A 19,805-nucleotide genomic window follows, 5' to 3' on the forward strand; every position below is an offset into this window, starting at 1 on the left:
AAAGCTCAGAAGCAAACTTAAGATTGATGTTTTAGGAATATCTTCAAAATCATAAAAGGAGACACTGTCCCTTACACTCATGAAGCCACTTGTCAAACTGTGAAGGTGCCATCTATTGACTCCAGAACTAAACCCCCATTGCCACAGTCAGGAATCTAACAATAAAAATGGCAAAGCTTTGATCAGGAAGCTGCCCCAGTGGCGAAGATACTACCTCCAGATGGTGCTTAAAACAGAAATGACATATGAAACATTAGAATCTCCCCACTTTACTTCTACTTTCCAAATCTCACATAAAAGCATCTAATTGGTAAAACCCAAATCATATCCAGAATCCTAGTTGCAAGAGTATGGGAAAGGTAATTTTATGTTCCAGCCTCTGAAGAAAGAATAGCATACGAGACTAACATGAGATGGAGCTATACCCCACTGGCTACTTAACACCCAGCACAACCTTCTACCCACACTTAACACCACTAGCAACAGCAATGTGCTCCTACCTAATGTGACAACACTATGTTTCACACCTATGAAAACAATCTCATCTTCCCCTGTGAGGAGAAGACCCAAAATTCCATCAGTAACTGCATCCATCCAGTCACCACTGGGTGACACTCAATTCTTTCCTAGTTCAGTCACCATACTATTTGGACATCCTGTGCCTGTGGCCAAAATGATAAATTTGGCAATCATCAACATACTGTGTATCAAAGAGAAAAGGAAAAAGAAAGGGAAGAAGGGGAAAGCATATACAAAATATATGCTTCCTTTAAATACTTTCGTGTATATTAACATAATACATAATAAAGCATATAAGTAGCTACCACGGACCTTATTTCTGCAACTGTTCACAAAGTTGTAGCTGACATTTATAACCTCCTTCACTACCATAATCAGGAAGCTCCCAGGATCAGGAAGCAGCCTGTTCAGGATGCTACCACCAAATCTAGACTTCCACATCCTTCATGGCTGGGCTCACCAGCAGCAACTGCAGGCACACAACCTTTATATCACTTTCATCTTCCAAATCTGGCAGAAATTCATCTGCTTTGGGAAATTTGTCTAAAACAGCAGCTTCCAATGAGAAAAATGTAGTTTCTAACTTTCTAGTTTCTGAAAAACAGGATAGATATTTGAGATAGCTACTGAGTGACAATTTATTATATCCATCATAGAACTCTCATTATTTCACAGACTGTCCTTCAGGCTCTTATCCGCTCTCCAGATTTCAAATATAAGTCCACAAACCCTTGAGGACAAATGGTTTCAAACTTAGATTATCTTTTTGGATTTTAGAAATCTAAAACACTGTATTTACTGTATATTACTAACATTAACATTAGGATCTGGGCAGCACCCACCCCATAACTGATCACATTAACCTTCCTAGAACAAAAGGTATAAATAATCATATTATTGGGATAAAGATTAAAAAATACCTTAACTTAGTTCATATCAGACTTTGCTTCAAATGCATTTGCATGAAACTTAAAATCAAAATCACTTGGATTTTAGGGCTTTTGAGATTTGGAGTTGTGGATAAGGAATTATAGATCTGTACCAACTATTATTGATAATTCCCAAATGTGTATTTTCAACCCTGAGCTCCAGATCCATATATGCTTATCTCTGTTTTCATTCTCATCCCCTGCCCCCATATAAACCTCAACATTCTTCAAACTGAAATCAAAACCCAGTCTTCCTCAAGTGTTCCCTGACTCAACGAGAGCCACTAATATCTACCTATTATTTGAAGCCAGAATCCTACATGTTATCCAAGAAAATCCCTCTCTCTCTTATCTACATACAGAGTTAGTCACCCAGTCCTGTCAATCTTACTGGTGAAATACCTCTCCAATATACTGCCTGTTTCCCAACACCACAGCCACCTTTTCTGGTCACACCACTGTTATTTCTAGATAATTTAAGACAGCTTCCTACTTCCTTGCCTCCCACACCTGGTATCTTTTCTCCACACAATAACACAGTGACCCTGTCACTTCCCAGCTTGTAACATTTCCTGTCTCCCTACCAGGGACAGTTTCCCTCAGGAAAAAGTCCCACCTACCAAACATTGTTTGAGAGACCCTTCCTTGCTTGCTGCTGCCCCCTCACAGTCTGGGCTCCAGCCACACTGCACTCCCTGCAGGAGCCTGAGTTCCTCATGCAGTCTCCCACCTCAGATCTATTTCTTTCTCCCGGAACAAGCCTCTTGTCTTTGCCAGGCTAATTCCTACTCAACTGTCAGGTCTCCACTTGGAAGTCACTCTCACTGAGCAGACAGTTCCTGACATATAGCTCCCAGACGAGAGCTTTATGTGTTTTCAAAGCAACTTACATCTCCCTTCCTTCCCAGTGACTAAGCTGTATTTGCACATCCCCCTTGCCACCCCTAGCTTGTCCCCTACCTTGGGTTGTACCTTCTAGGAGAATAAGGGCTGTATTTTCCTCATGCATTGTTGTGACCAGTGCTTGCCATGTAGTAGATGCTTGCCATATAGTAGATGCTCATAACTATTTTAATATTGGTTATAATGACAAATGAATATCTTTCCTTTCTTGTTCTTTTTCCACCCAACTCCAAATTCCTCTGTCCTTAGAAAAAAAGGAAAGAAAGTAATGTAAAGAGTGTAATTTGAGACACTCAAATTACATCTCAAAAAAACCCCAAAATAGAAGATGAATAAATCAATTACCAAAGTAGCCGCTTACTTCTCCCTCTGAGATACATCAGCATAGAGATGAAGGCTGACATAAAAGCTTTGGTAAGAGGAACACAGAGAAAAAAATCTGAGAGAAGCAGCTAAAGAAATGTTCTGAATCTCAAAATAGCAAGTAATATGGGAAGACAGGGTGAAGGAACCCGCAGGGAGAAACATCACCTTTTACAGGCATAAAATTACATCAAGGCCAGCCTTTGAATGGCCAAGGGGAGCCAGGGGTTCTGAGAAGCTGCACTGGGACTGAGAATAGGCAAGCCTGCCGCAGCCTGGCTGCAAATTGCTCCTTCACGAGCCTGGCTGGGAGGAAAACTATTTACACATGGGTGGTGAAGAAAACAGAAAATCTCAGAAAGGAGTCTGGATGATTCTTATGTTTGGGAGGTAGAATTTGAGAGAAAGAAAAAGTTTCCAAAGAAATTCATAATCCTATTTGGAAAAACATATCTGTGAATTAGAATTTTAACAAAACATGACTTGACCCCACAGAGGGTCTTCCTTTTACACCCCCTACATGTTTAATAACATATTACAGAGGCATTAAAAAAGGAACTGGGTGGTAACCTGGGAGAATGAAAACATTGTCTTTAATTCAGGACTTAATGGGTAATTTTTGGCTTAGATTTTCATTATTTTTAAAGTGTTTTCAATAAAGTAATTTTTTTTTGTTTTTTAAAAAAGAGTATTAGATAACTTTAATGTTTCTCACTTTTTTTTCTTTTTTTTGAGACAGGATCTCACTCTGTCACCCAGGCTGGAATGCGGTGGCACAGTCTTGGCTCACTGCAACCTCTGCCTCCTGGGCTCAAGCCATCCTCCTAGCTCAGCCTCCCGAATAGCTGGGACTATAGGCATGCACCACCAGCCTGGCTGAATTTTTTATATTCTTTGTAGATACAGGGTTTTGCCATGTTTCCCAGACTGGCCTCAAACTCCTGGACTTAAGTGATCTGCCTGCCTCACCCTCCCAAAATGCTGGGATTATAGGCGTGAGCCACGGTGTCCGGCCCCACTTTTCTTAACAGTGTTTTTCTAGTTCTGACAGTCATTAGTAAAAGTAAGGTTGACTAAATAATAAGTTAAAAATGAAGTTAATAGAATGGGAAGCTGTTGGGGAGCATTTTATTCCTGCCACTTAAAAATCACTCATCATGATCATAAATTAGCAGGCAGTTACTTATCTCAGTATAGAAAGCTGAGCCTGACAGATTGAGTTGCCTTTTCCCACCCCCCCACTCTTCCCTAGCATATCTACCCATATTCATTGATTTTATGCAAGTTGGCAAGACAGAGGGTAATTATGTCTGTTCCTCAACCTGACGGGACAACAGAGAACCTGCTAGAGAGTGAGAAGAAGCTAACACACTTCCAGGGGGGCTTTTTATCACATTTAGGGTAACCAAGTGCTGCTTAGGGGACTAAATAACCAAATACAAGATGGAATTGAGTAAGGGAGTTTGAGGGGGATCTCCCCACTTCTGCTTTGGGAAGAATAGGTCTCAGGCATCAGTGAAGAGGCAGTGGTGGAGGAGCTAGCTTAAATTTGGCAGCCAGCACAACTGAGACCCAACCTAAAGAAAGTCCCGAGGAGACAGAGGAGGCCTAGGGGATCCGATGGAGTCCTAGGCAGCAGATGGAGGCTAATAAACCAAGGAAATTTACGTCTAGAATGTTAACGTTGGAAGAAAACTGGGGACATTTTGGTTATGTAAAGATAAAGCACTTAAAATAATCTCAGATCCCAGGAAATTGACATTTTTCTCTGAGAGGAATATTGAAGACTTTATAATTTCCCCCTGGCAAACATTAGGCTGCCGATAGTTTTCTTTCTAAGTAAGGAAAGTTTGGATTTTATTCCAACTCAAAGTAGATAAATCTTTATCAAAAGAAAAAAATTAAATAATATAGATAAAAGAAGCAACAGAGAACAATGACAATTTTACCAACTATGGTGGGTAAAATAATTTTCCCTTCATATTGATTCTTATTTATCAGACTTGTAGAATATCAATTTAAATGTGAAAATATAGTGTTCCTTTTATTTCAAAATGTGACTTCATCATTCCTAAAAAAAAGAGAGGTACTCTTGCATTTCAGAAATTAGCATTAATTCCCATCTATTTGCTATGAAAGTAAAGCTTTAATATCCATATTTAACCACCTGCTATTGCATTTGCTTGTCCCAACAGCATTTGCAAACAAAGCCAGAGGTAGCATGGCATAGCAGCCAGAGCACTGGAACAGGAATCATGCCAGCGTCTGGTTATAGCGCAGGTTCTACCAGAGTGACTTTGGGCAAGTTAATTACGCTTTGTGTGTCTGTTTATTCATCTATCACACACCACGGGTGGATTAGAAGAACCTAAAATTCTTCCATATCTTAATGTTTAAAGGCACAGACGCTCTAGTGAGTGGAAAGCATTCAGTGAGTTGACATACTGTGTAATCTACAGAGCAACTCTGCTGGCAAGTGAAACAGCAGGGAAAAAACCTTTAAGCTCAAGGGAACTTCTGAACTGTAATAAAACACGGCGGTGTGCCATCATGAATTTACTCACTTTGTTTTCTAGACCCACTTGGTGATCCACCACATGCCATGTGACACTTTCCTCAGCCATGGGAGGGGGCAACTCTCATGTGTAGCTCTTGCTGACCCTTTAAGAAAACCCATTCCGCAAAGTGGTCTCTTTAGAATCTATCCTTACTGGAACTGTGTGTGACCTCTAAAACGGCTGTGCTGTGAGTATCCCCTGCCCACACCAAACCACTCACTAAATGTAATACTTTGCACACGCTTATATTTATGTGACTGTGTGAGTGAAAGTTAATGTTGTAGGCATTTAATCAGTACCTTTCTGTGGTAGGCAGGGTAACAGCCTACCAAAACGTCTGCATCCGAAAATGTCTGCCTCAAAATTTCTGAAGCCTGTGAATATGTTACCTTACACAGCAGAAGCGACTTTGCAGATGTGATAAGGTTAAGAATCTTGATATGGGAGGGTTAATCTATATTATTTGAGTATGCCCAGTGTAATCACAAGGGTCCTTATAAGATGGAAGAAAGCAGGAGTGGCACAGTCAGAGAAGGAGGTGTGACAACAGAAAGCAGAGATCAGAAATACAGATTTGAAGATGCTACCCTGCTGGCCCTGAAAATGGAGGAAAGGGCCACAAGCCAAAGAGTACAGATGGTCTCTACTAACTGGAAAAGGTGAGAATATGGATTTTCCCCCAGGGCCTCCAGAAATAATGAATGCAGTTTTGCTGACACCTTGATTTTAGTTTCATAAGACCCATTTTGGGCTTCTGACGTTCAGGAGTGTAGATAACAAACTTGTGTTGTTTTAAGCCACTAAGTGTGTGGCAAATTGTGAGAGCAGCAAGAAGAAACTTACACATTCCCTAATAGTGGGTTATCTAATATCCATAGAAATTATACAAATACCTCATCTACTCTCCTCATTTCACAGATAAAAAACAGAAGAATCAATGAGCTCTATCACTCTTCTATACAGTTTAATGAATTTTTCCAAAGCTTAATGTTAGGAACAAATGAAAGCAAGTGTTTTTGCATTAAAGCCTCATAGATAGCTAAACTGTGTGGAGCTGCTGATGGCTCCATATGAGGATGACCCTTAATAATGTGTGTTCTGCTGAGAAATATCCTTTTCTAGATTAATGTTAGAGAGAGAGAGAGAGAGAAATGTAAAGGAGTCTCACTGAAAACAAAAAAGAGCTATTAAAGCAAAATGTGAGCTAAGCCGCTAAGCCTTTTTTTTTTAAAGAGATATTCTCTGTAGTAAGCACATAAAGAAATAAGATTATGGAGAAAAGATACGTGTTCAGGAAGCATGTCACTGATCTTTAAGTAGCATTTGGGAGGAATCAGCTCTGAAATGTGTGCCTTGGATAACCCAGCAGAGGCAACACTTCTAATATTATTTCATCTTGACATGATCTGAGGAGGTTTTTCTGACAATGCTTTTCCAGATGACTGGAATCCTCTGTGGGAACACTATTATCAGGTGAGTGCTCTGCCAGGAGTCTGGGAAAGAGCTGCCTTGGACTTGGGTAATTGCCGTGAAACATTTTCTGAAGATAACTTAAAATGAGTTAAATTCTGTTTTTCTAGAAATAAAAAGCCAATATTAAAACTTTAGATATTAATAAGAAGTTAAATATATCTTACTAAGAGAAAATATTTAGCATATCTGTGCAAAATAGTTCATAGACTATTTAAAAGCCCACCTGTGTCCTGCCAACTTCAGTTAAATTCAAGCTTTCTTATAAGGTCACTTTTCTGTTTTTTTCTTAGACAGGAAAAGGCTAAATCCCAGTTGTGAAAATTCAAAGAGCACACACAGAACTATTGCTTTGGCCTAATTAAGGGAGCTTTATCATAATTATATAGTTTCTAGTCCTAAGAAGCCCAGGATTAAAAGGATTGTTGTTTTTCTTCCACAGTCCTTTTTTTTTTTTTTTTTTTTTAAATAATAGAGTGTGCCCAGGATGTTCTGGAACTCCTGAGCTCAAGGAATCCTCCTGCCTCAGCCTCCCAAAGTGCTGGGATTACAGGTACGAGCCTCCATACCCAGCCTGTAATTTTCCATTTTGCTGTTACTTGCCTTGTGTCTCACTTTCTTTTAACCAGGTTCCAAGGGTAAAATCTCATCACATCTAAATAACTTGGGGCGTGTTGCCTTAACCTCAATTCCTTTATCTGTGAAATAGGGATTATATTAGCACCAATTCCATAGGGTTCTTGTAAGGGTTAAAAAGGATGATTCCAGTAAATTGTTTAGTCTGATTTGATTTTGTATCAGAATGCTGCTATAAGAACACAAAGAATTCCACATATGCATACCCCCAAAATAAATATTTAGAAATATCCCAGAAGTTAGAAGGGATAAGGAAGGACACTATTATTTATGTTTATCAACTATATACCAGCTAAATTGTATGCATATTTTATTTAGTCCTCATATCTAATAAGGCAAAAGTATTAACCCATTTTAGGTAAGAAAATCGAAAGGTTAAGTACGTTGTCCAAGGTCCCAGAGCTAGTAAATAAAGAATGGAAGCTTCAACCCTTGTCTCTCTGATACTAAAGACTTTGATTATTTTTTTTTACCGTGCATCTTCTCAGGGCTACAGTAAAATTGAAGTATGCCCTATTCCAAAAAGGCTAGTACAGAGACGGTTCGAATGTGCCTTCCTTCTCTGAGCTGCATCCTCAAAGCTAAGGTACTGGCAGGAAAAGCAGTGTTATCATATGTTACAGCATTGCTTTGTCTTCTAATGAAGGGCAGCAGTGTCTCAGAAAAAGGAGACTCTTGGTTAAGTTCTGTTATAGGCATTGCTTATTATGCTGAGAAGCTGGAAAGGGTGAGGAAAAAAAGAACTGAAACCACCATGCATCATTTTGTGGACAAGGATCTCATTATTTGGGCAGTGAAATGTTTATATATGACTCCCTGTAAGTAATTAGCAGGTAGAAGAGCCCACCAGGAAGGTGCTTTCCTTTGTCTCGCTGTTGTTTACACTGTCTCTCCAAGGCATTGTTTGTCCTTGAGATATTGGGGTGTGTCTCAGTGCCTGAGAGAGAGACAGGGGGAAGGAGAGGTGGAAATTGGTGCAGGGATGTTACCTACCACAGGAGACCAGGAGTGAATCTGCAAGGCCATGGAAGCAGGCAACGACACATATTGGAGTCCCACCAGCAGAGGACAGAGGCTGCACCTGACCACCAAAGGTGCAGCCCCATGTGTTTTCAAAAGAGGAACCCAGCCTCTGAGAAGGGGGCAGCCATAGATATTGAGTCCCATTGTCCTGGTTAGCAGTAAGGGGAGAGGGAAAGCACCCTAGGAAAAGAATTCTAGGGTGGGAAATAAGGTTTTCCTGTAGTTAGAGAGGATTTATTCTGTGAAACTGAAGAGGAGATTATCTTTTTGAAGAGAGGCAAAGGAGGGGAACCCTAAGACTGTAAAATGGTTATGCCTATGAGAAGACATCCTGGAAGCATTTACCTTTTCCTTTCCCTTGGCTTCTGAGAAAGAATGCTATTTAGCATCAAATGTTAGGTTATTCCCCCCACTGTTGTAATCTCTTCTAGTTATTCTTCAATAGTTACCTGGTAGAATCTGTTTCCTGTGCCAGCCTTGTGTTGGGCAATGGTGCTTTGGAAGTTAATGGACAGTCAGTGGGCATTGTGCCTGCTTATGGGAAGGGTGGTGCACCCTTCCTGTCCTACACTGTCTCCACCAGGGCCCACAGAAGCAGCACAGTTCATTGAGAAGCTCTAGCTTGAGAGAAGCTATAGGGTGACCAGATACCTGAGACTGGCAGGGGCAAGGTGACCTCAGAGATTCACCCTGCAGCCTGCTCTCACTCAAGTGTATATGAGAACCAAACCTTCTTCCCCAAATAACTAGGAACAGATATTCTGGAAACATCACCTGGAAAGAGGTAAATAGACAGGAGCAGAAATATCTGGAGGGAGACTAAATGCACATATTCCATACAAGGATAGACATGTAGTTCAAAAAAATGCTCATTGTGTGAGATTTCTCACTTTCCCACAATGACCTAATTGGTATTTAGAGCTTCTCTGTAGAGTCTTTATTTGAGTTCCCACCCAGAGCTTATGGGCTTGTTTCCGTGGTGTTTCCTAGAGAAAATGATTATCCATTTTCTTCACTACAAAACACTGAGCAGTGTAGTGACTAAGTGTAAGGGCTCTAGCGTTAGATTGCCTGGCGTTACCTCCACATTATTAATTTAGTTGCTATAAGAACTTGGGCAATTTACATAGCCTCTCTGAACCCCAATTTCCTCACCTATACATAGAATTAGTAAAGGTACCTACCCTATAACATTTGTAACAATTAAATTAGAGAATTAATGTAATTTGTAGAGTTGTTGACATATAATAAGTGTTCAGGAAATGATAACCTCTAATTATAATTATTATTTTTGTTTTTAAAGTACTAAGAATCTCTACCTTCTCCTATGGATAACAGTGGGGACTAATGTCCAGCTGTGTCCTTGATGCTGTGCTCATTAGAAGGAGCCGCAGGTTTTAGCTCAGTCATTCTGACCCTTGGCAACATATTAGTGTTGCCTAAAGACCCTGGCCCTGGGCCACTCCTAGACCAATTAAATCAAAACATATGAGGATGGTATCCAGACATCAGCATTTTCAAAGTTCTCCAGATGATCCTAATATGCAGCCATGGTTGAGAACAATTATGTTAGCTCCTTGCTACTCAAAGTGCAATCAGAGAACCAGCAGCTTTGGCATTACTTGGAAGCTTGTTAGAACCATTCAGTTTTGTTCCACCCTCATCCCAAATGGACTGAATTAGTCTGAATTTAACAGGATTCCCAGGCAATTCACATGAACATTAAAGTTTGAGATACAGACACCAGCTAAACATCTCCAGTAATACTCTTAAGCAATTGCTTTTAGCAGCAAGTAATCTCACAAGCAGCAAAATCTCCTGGTGATTTCTTTCAGCAGTTATCTGGTGAGCAGACCCTAAGAATGCATCCTGTCTTGCCTTTGGCACCTTCTCAGTTTGGAAACAATAGCTCACTTCCTCCTTTAGCTCTTAGCATCCCCGCTAGAGGGCACTTGTTCAAAGAGGAACTTGTTCAAAGACCTGTTGCATCTCATAAACAAAGCACGTACTGTTGTATTTCTAGTTGTTTCAACTTCTTTGCACTTTAGTTATTAAGGGTAGATATCCACTGGCACCCTTTGGCTCAGGGATAACTCACTTCTAGAAAAGGCATCTAAAGAATTGCTAGATATAGTCCAACATACCACCAGGCAGTCTCGGAATCAGGTAATTGATTACCTGATTCAGGTACCTGATTCATACAGGGAGAGGACCTCGTAACACATCCCATTTTTTTTTTCTGTGATCAGCCCTTAAGAATAGAAATAAATGGGTAAAAAATGTTCTCGAAACAGACCCAGACATCTCTGTTAGTAGGGGCTCAGTTATAATGCAGTAACAACCAACTCCCAAGACCTCATTTGCACCTTGAGTTTATTTGCTGCCAAGAAGGTTTGGCAGTGGGGCTTTGCTCATCATAGCCACTCAGGTTCCCAGGCTAACCAAGCTTCAACATGAGCCTTATCAATTTCTGAAGCAGTGAAAAGGAAATGACAGTGTCTCAATGAAAATAAAAAGGTTTTGTCTAGAAGTGATACATGTGGCTTTTGTGCTCGTTACATTGTCCTAGCAAGCTACAGGACTAACTTTAAAGAGTGAGAGGGACAGAATCCTTACTCTGTCCCTGTAAGGAAAGAGAATCAGATATAGATGGACATATTTCAATGGACTCCCATTTTCTGTTTCTTTTGAATTCTTTCTTACATTTAAAAAGAAATGCTGATATTTATACTGACACCACAATAAGTAAAGAACAATGGTTCAATTGGACATCTCTTTGTTTCCCTTTCTACCCTAATACTCATCATGTTGATATTTTCTAGTCTTTTAATTCTGTTATTACAAATACATTTCTTATTTTTCTTGGTCTTAGATATTTATTTTATAGATAACAAACTTTATCAGGTAAAATACATTAGGTATTATTCTGTCTTCTCATTCTCCCGGATTTTAATAATCTCTTATTTTAGTACTTCATCAAAAACTATTTTCAGTGAAGGTCTCAGCTGCTGATGCTTTGTATTTCTGAGAATATTTTTTATTATGCTCTGATCTTTGGATGACAGTTTGGACATATCATTCTAAGTTCAGATTTCTTTTCCTTTAATTCTTTGAAAAGACACGATAGTCTTCTTGCTTCCAGTTGTTTATTTTTTTGAATTCTGATAGAAATTTGCTGCTTCTTTCTTTTTTATGCAATCCGCCTTTTCTCTATCAACTTTTAGGATTTTTTGTTTGTCTTTGAGGTCCTAAATTGTACTGTAATTTGTCTAAGTGTGGCTTTTCCTTTATCATCTTCGTCTTTAAATGATCTCTTCAATCTGAGGGTCTGCATCTTATTTTTTTATTCCAGGAAATTTTCTCCATTATGCCTTCAAGTATTACCCCCTCCCCATTTTTATTTCTCCCTCTTTCTGAGATTTCTACTACCCAGATATAAGTACTGCTAAATTTAAAAAATACATATTTTTCTTTCTTTTGTTCCCTCCTTCAAGGAAATTCCCCAAATCTGATCTTTCAATTTATTAATTTGTTTCTTAACTGTATCCATTTTGTTGTATAGCCTGTTCAAGATGTCTTTTACTTCAGATATTGTGATTTTATACCTAATATTTGTGTTTGATCCTTTTTTATGTTTCTTTGTCCTTCTTTCATATTAGTGATGTGTCCCTAATCTCGTCTAGCATTGTTTTTTAGCTTAATTTTAAATTCTTGGTCCATCTGTTTTAATATTTCTGTTTCTGATGGAATTTGTGATCTAATATGTCATATTTGTTTTGAAATAGTTGTAGTTATCAAAAACTTTGTTATTTGGGCCTGTAAATTCATTTTTCTCCAAATTGGGAAATTTTTAAATGGGCTACTGTGTCAGGCAATGTGTCTAAGGAAGCCAAACCTCAGTCCCTCTCAAACACGATAAACTCAGAATGTGCATATTTGTGGAGGAGGTGGCGGGAATGAGCTCTCAGGTGAAGAGCCTCAGCCACCAGAAAAAAAGAAAAACAGCCAATTACTCATCACTCCACAAACAGTTGTTAAGGTCCTGGCTTCATCCTTTGCAGAGGAAACTCATTAGATTGTGTATTATTGGTTTTGAGGTTCAAGGAGGAAGTACCTGCACCAAGTTGATTAACCTACAGTTGTATTTTTTTGCTCCTCTCAAGCACAGGGGTTTTGTTTCCTGATTTTACCACTAGGGCAAAACATGATCCAGTGCAGGTAAGAAGGAAGGCATTGCTGGTCCCATAATAAAGACAGGGTAGAAGCAATAACAGAACTATAACAATTCCCGTGATTTTTGCTGTGACTAGCCCTGTCTGCCTGCCTCTCATCCAACACAATTAATTTAAACTTTCAGTGGGTCACCCCAGGGGCTTCTCACAGTTTTCTACGTTTCATAGTATTTTCCTTCATAGTTCCCTCTGTACTGATTTTGGAGATGGGAGGGCATCAGTTACTAATTCAGCAGCTTGGTTAGAATCTGATGTTAAAATGTAACTATTTTAGCTTTTAATATGTTACCTTTCTATACAGAGTCCCTAACTCTACATTTCTTCATTCTAAGTATTAATAGTAATCTGGAACTATAGCAACATAAAAATGAATACAAAGACAGTAACATTATTTAGATTAAGTAAAAGCTCAGAATTATTAATACAAAATAACCACTATCTACAAAATGATTATGTTTTTCCATCAACCAGATTTGCATTCCATTGAGCCTTAATGGAAAATAATAACTCATCCAAGGGAGCCAGGCAGACAAAAAAAGATTATAGAGAACAAGCAGAACTTAAATTTTAAAAGCACACTTTAAAGAATAGTGCACTTACAATTTGAACAATGAATAAATAATAATGGATTTGGATTAAAACCTAGAGAATAAAATAAATATTCATGACTCATATTTATATAAATAAATAACTAAATAAGTAAATAAGTGGGAGAGAAAGCACAAGTCTTCCTTACAAAAGAGTTCTAAATAATCCATGTGGACGAAATGCAAGCAATAGAAAGTCACTGCTAGAATACCACAGAGAAAAGTACTGCAGGCAAGATCCACTGATGGATGCTAAAATTAGTGGATGAAAATTTATGGAGACAGAGAATATTTATATAATCTCAAAGTATCTCCTTCAAAAATACATATTCACTGTAAGGGAAAAGTGGTAGCTTTATACTAGAGAAAACTGGCAGAAACCATCATAACTGAGTGATCAAGATTAATATATAAATATATATTTTTATAATATAAATAAATGTAAATATAAACATATAAATAATAAATAAATTAATCATCAGTAATAAGACGTATCGACATCATAGAACTCCTGATATGATGCAAAGAGAAACGTCTCTTACCTTTATGGTAATCTTCCTGATAACACATAATCTCAATCTAATCAGGAGAAAACAAACCCAAACAGAAGGACATTCTACATGAAGCATTCACGGAAGGACATTTATCTACATGATAAAATTGCCCAGGTCGTGAAAGACTCAAGTGTCACAGATTGAGGGAAACTAAGAAGACATGACAATTAAATGTAATGTAGGATCCTGGATTGAATCCTGGGATAGAGAAAGTACGTCGTGGAAAATTTGTGAAATTGAAATAAAGTCTATAGCTTAATTGACAGTATCGTAACAATTGTTTTGTGGTTACTTGCAGAGGGCACCATTGACCTCCATATTGAAATGATGATGCCATACACACCAAGAGGGTATGAAAAGGTTTATTACTCACAGAACAAGGCTTTCTAGGGAGAGCAAGGCCGGTGCCCAGATTGGTCTGAAATGGCTTGAGCAAAGGGAGGGGCAAATAGCTTTGATTTTATGATTGTTTGGGATGGGATTGGGGTGAGGGTTCTCCCACAAGGGCTAGGGTTTATATGCAGTTTTATCTCCCCATTGGTGTCAAAGAAAGGTATACTCTGACTTTCTTATTGGCATACACAGATGTTGAGTGAGAGGGAAAAAGGAAAGGGTAGGCTTGAAAGTTGTCAGGATAAGACATCAAAAAATGGAGTTAGACACTTCATGTCATCAGTACTAATTTCTTAGTATTGATAATTGCACTATGGTTATATAAGAAATAGCATTAGGGAAAGCTGGGTAAAGAAAAAACAGGAATTTTCTTTACTAGTTTTTCAACTCTTCTGTAAGTCTAAAGTTATCTCAAAATAAAAAAAAAACTTTTTAAAAGCCATTCCACTTAGAAGAATTATTATATTGCAATATGGACTAGGTTATTTTTATTTTTATTTTTATTTTAAGTTTTGGGGTATGTGTGCAGGATGTGCAGATTTGTTACATATGTAAACATGTGCCATGGTGGTTTGCTGCACCTATCAACCTGTCACCTGGGTATTAAGCACAGCATCCATTAGCTATTTTTCCTAATCCTCTCCCTTCCCCCACCACACCCCTGGACAGGCCCCAGTGTGTGTTGTTCCCCTCCCTGTGTTCGTGTGTTCATTCAGTTCCCACTTATAAGTGAGAAGATGCAGTGTTTGATTTTCTGTTCCTACGTTAGTTTGCTGAGGATAGAATGAGATCATGTCCTTTGCAGGGACATAAATGGAGCTGGAAGTCATTATCCTTAGATATATTTTTTAAAGAATTTTTGGTATAAAAATTTTAAGTTGAATGAAAACCCCAGAGACAGAAAAAATGAAAAGTAGGGAGCTACTTTTCTATCAGGGGGAACCAGCCCCCAGTATTTCAGTGTAGGTCCTTTCTATTTTCCCTAATTGTCAGCCGGTCTGAGAAATAAAGAGAATGAGTACAAAGAGAGGAATTTTACAGCTGGGTCTCCGGGGGTGACATCACATATCAGTAGGTCCGTGATGTCCCCTGAGCCGCAAAACCAGCAGGTTTTTATTAAGGACTTTAAAAGGGGAGGGAGTGTATGAACAGGGAGTAGGTTACAAAGATCACATGCTTTAAAGGGCAATAAATATCACAAGGCAAAGGGCAAAATTAGAATTACTGATGAGGGTCTATGTTCGGCTGTGCACATATGGTCTTGATAAACATCTTAAACAACAGAAAACAGGGTTCAAGAGCAGAGAACCAGTCTGACCTCAAATTCACCAGGGTGGGATCTTTTCCCCTCTCTAATAAGCCTGAGGGTACTGCAGGAGACCAGGGCGTATTTCAGTCCTTATCTCAACCGCATAAGACCGACACTCCCAGAGCAGCCATTTATAGACCCCCCCCCCCCCCCAGGAATGCATTCCTTCCCCAGGGTATTAATTATTAATATTCCTCGCTGGGAAAAGAATTCAGCAATATCTCTCCTACTTGCACGTCCATTTATAGGCCTCTGTAAAAAGAAAAATATGGCTGTATTCTTCCCAACCCTGCAGGCAGTCAGACCTTTGGTTGTCTTCCCTTGTTCCCTAAAATTGCTGTTATTTTGTTCGTTTTCAAAGTGCACTGATTTCATATTGTTCAAACACATGTTTTACAATCAATTTGTACAATAGTGGTCCTCAAGTGATGTACATTCTCAGCTTATGAAGATAACAGGATTAAGAAATTAGAGTAAAGACAGGCATAAGAAATTATGAGTATTAATTTTGGGAACTGATAAATGTCCATGAAATCTTCACAATTTATATTCAGAGATTGCAGTAAAGACAGGTGTAAGAAATTATAAAAGTATTAATTTTGGGAACTGCTAAATGTCCATGAAATCTTCACAATTTATGGTCCTCTGCCACAGCTCCAGCCAGTCCCTCTGTTCGGGGTCCCTGACTTCCCGCAACACCTATCGGCAATTGCTAACCCTCATGTATTAGTTTTCTACTGCTGCTGTAATATGTTACTGTAATATAGACTTAAAAAACACAAATTTATTATCTTACAGTTCTGTAGATCAGAAGTCTGACATGGGTCTCACTGAGCTAAAATCACGGTAGCCCATGGGCTGTGTCCTTCTGGAGGCTACAGGCGGGGAATCTGTTTCCTTGCCTTTTCCAGCTTCTAGAGGCTACACCCATTTCTTGGCTTATAGTCCCCTTCCTCCATCTTCAAAGCCAGCAATTCTCAGACCCTTGTTCTATCATCACATTTCTCTTGGACTCTCCCCACTTCTGTTTTTCTCTTCTACTTTTAAGGACCTTTGTGATTACATTGGCTAGGCCCACACAGATAATCCAGGATAATTTCCCATTTCAAGGTGAGCTAGTTAGCAACTTCAACACCATCTTCAATTTTAATTCCCCTTTTCCATGTGTCCTAAGGTATTCACAGGTTCTGGAGATTAGGATGTGAACATCGTTGGGCACCATTATTCTGCCTATCACACTTCATATTCAAACATGAGTTTTTAATGGTTGTGAGAGAAAAATAAGGCCTTCAGCCTATACAAGGCAGGGAGTTAGACTTGAGCCTCTGCATAAATCCAGTACCTTTAAACACCAGTACAGACTTAGCATAGTGAAAATGTGGGCTAGAAAAGTATCTGCCCCCTGGTATGTGGGGACTTTTTCAAGAAATTGTATATATTTTGACAATTTCTAACAGGAAAGTTACAAGAATTGTGCAAAAAATTCTCATATTCCCCAAATGTTAACATTATACCTTATTTGCATTTTCATTTATTTACATGATTGTATAATTTTTTTTCTGAGGTGTGTTTGAAAGTGTGTCATAGACATGATGCTCCTTTTCTACCAAAGTACTTTTAGTGTGTAACAAGGACATTCTTTTATTAAGCAGAGTACAATTATATAAATTAGGAAATTAATATTGTTACAATAGTCCTACCTAAATTACAGACATCATTAACTTTTCACTAATTGTCCCAAAATTGTCCTATATAGCAATCTGGATCTTGTGTTGCATACAGTTGTCATGGCTCTTCAGTCTTTTAAAATCTGAAATATTTTTTCAGTCTTCATCATTCATGACATTGACATTATTGAAGAATATAGGCCGTTAGTTCATAGCATTCCCTCATTTTGGATTTGTCTGATGTTTCTTCATGATTTGAATCAGATTGTGCATTTTTGGGTAGAAACAGCACAGAAGCGATGTTACAATCTACTCAGTGCATCATACTGTGGCACATGATGTTGATCTGTCCCATTACTATGTTAATTTTCATTGCATATAGTTTTCCATTTGAAATTCATAAGTATTTCATACAGAAATATTTTGAGAATATGTAAATATACTACTTAAATTTTGCCTAATAGTGTTAGCATCCATTGATGATTCTTCTTGGAATTAATTTTTATTTTTATTTTATTTTATTGAAAATTTTTATTTTTATGGTTGCCAACTGGGGATTTCTAATTCTATTATTCCTTCTACATTTATAAGTTGAGCATCTTCTACAAGAAAGGGCTTTCCAATTTTCCCCATTTATCAAATTATTAGTCAATTAATATCAGTATGGATTCATGGATTCTTAGATGGGCTATAATCCTTTACTATTGTTCAGTTTGATGCTCACGTCATTGCAGATTTGGATAGTAGGAATCACTTCAGGGTGCTCCTGTGTCAAAGGGCATTGTTTCATTAAAAATTACTGTTTGGGTCTGAAATTAGGGTGAAAAAAGTTTAAATACAATAGAAAATTCCTCCGAGAAGTACTAAACGGAGCTTTGTCCTCACTTAATACTGAGCTTTAAATTTATAATCCTAGTGTCAAAAAAAACCATCATATGACTTTAACTTCAAGTATGATCCTGGGTTGGTAGCATGTGGGGTTGCTGGTAGAAGCAAAATTATACCCATTCTAAAGAAACAAACCTCAACACTTTCAAGATTCTTACACTTACGAAGAACAGGGACATATGAATCCATAACTCCAAATTATAGAAGCACAAGAAGAACAAACACCAGAGCAAGAAATTACAGAAACAACCACCAATAGTATTAGAATCTCCTTCCCCACCTAGAACTGCAGATATTGAAATTATCAGCCACAGAGTAAAAAGTAGTATATCCCTTTATGTTTAAGGAAGTAAAAAAAATGATTAAGCAAAAAATTACCACCAACAATGCCAGATAACCTTGGAAAAGATCAAACTCCTAGTAATGAAAAAGAGTTGGAGTTATAATCTCAGTTGATAAATAAAAGACTAGGCACAGCTGAAAACAAATTAAGAAATTGGAAAAAAAATTATTAGGCAGCTCATATAGAAAAGGGCTTAGAAAATATGAGTGTTAAAGAGACCTGTAATTTATGATGACAAGTTCTAACATCTTATAATTAAATCAGAAAAATATAGTAGAAAATGAGGAAGAGATAATATTAGAATAAATTAAAAATGAGAAATAAAAAAATACATGATGGTGTGAATCCACAGGGTATGGAAGCAAAACAAAGCTTAAACAAGATAAACACGAATAAACCCAGATCCAGACAAATCACAGTGAAACTGAACACAAAGACAACGCAAAGATTAGAAAGGTGGCTGAAGAGCAAAAGAAATATTATCTGCAAAGGAATAATATAAATAATAGCTAATATTTATTAATTGCTTATATTAGGCATTGTTCTATTCACAATATTAACTTATTTCATCCTATAAACAACACAATGAAAGAAATATAGTGATTATTTTATTTTTTAAATATAATTTTATAATTATGAAACTGCTACCATGTTTGGATTCTTTTTGTCTTCAGTACTCTAATACTCCACAATGATACTTCTAGGTGTAGGATTATTTTCATCCATTTTACTGGACACTCAGTTAATTCTTTCAAAAATGGAGATTTCTGTCCTTCAAGACTTGTGGATTTTAAAAAATTATTTAATTGTTTATTTCCTGTCCTCTATTTCTGTTTCCTATTTTTGACACACCTATAATTTAAACCTTGGAGTTCCTGGATGTATTCTCTAAATTTTTTGTGGGATATTTTACAATGAAATATTCTATATAATTTAAAGTGACACTTATCAACATGGACAAATCTTACAAACACATAGTTAAGTGGAAAATGTAAGTGACAAAGAAAGTATAAAATTAAAATAAAACAAAACAATTTCTATAACATCCAAACAAAAAATAATTTTGTGTGTATGTATACACATACACATATACATGTATATTGATACATAGGTGCAAAAGAATAAAGTTATTTGTTAAGAATAAAAATTATCAAATATTAGAATTAGTATTACTTTGGGGGGAGAGTAAGTAAGAGGATGAAATTGGAGAAGAGTACAAAGAAATGTCCAAGATTACTGATATTTTATTTCCTAACTCATGATTGTTACATGAATGTTTAAAATGTTTTATGTATTTTTGTATGTTTAAAGTATTTTAAAATAATTTTAAAAGCACTTAAGGAGATTCAAGTTAAGCCTAAGCAAATTTTTGTGAGTCCTCTAAATGATTCGTGATTTCTCAACTAAGAAATACACTTTATGAGTTAAAGG

At 37.5% G+C, this 19,805-nt stretch overlaps 1 long non-coding RNA gene across 1 annotated transcript in view, besides 1 other annotated feature; it reads left to right on the forward strand.

Annotated features, from left to right (window-relative positions):
- Positions 1 to 19,805, forward strand: part of LOC107986309 (uncharacterized) — a 123,175-nt gene that overhangs the window by 60,082 nt on the left and 43,288 nt on the right. The window lies entirely within an intron of this gene.
- Positions 10,276 to 10,325: a silencer, noted in NCBI's record as "silent region_15658". NCBI's record gives its function as "represses an Ori minimal core promoter by ATAC-STARR-seq in GM12878 lymphoblastoid cells {active_cell/tissue: GM12878}" and the evidence as "EXISTENCE:reporter gene assay evidence [ECO:0000049][PMID:35858748]".

The sequence above is a fragment of the Homo sapiens genome, chromosome 4 (assembly GCF_000001405.40).
Source record: "Homo sapiens chromosome 4, GRCh38.p14 Primary Assembly".
NCBI classification, from domain to species: domain Eukaryota; kingdom Metazoa; phylum Chordata; class Mammalia; order Primates; family Hominidae; genus Homo; species Homo sapiens.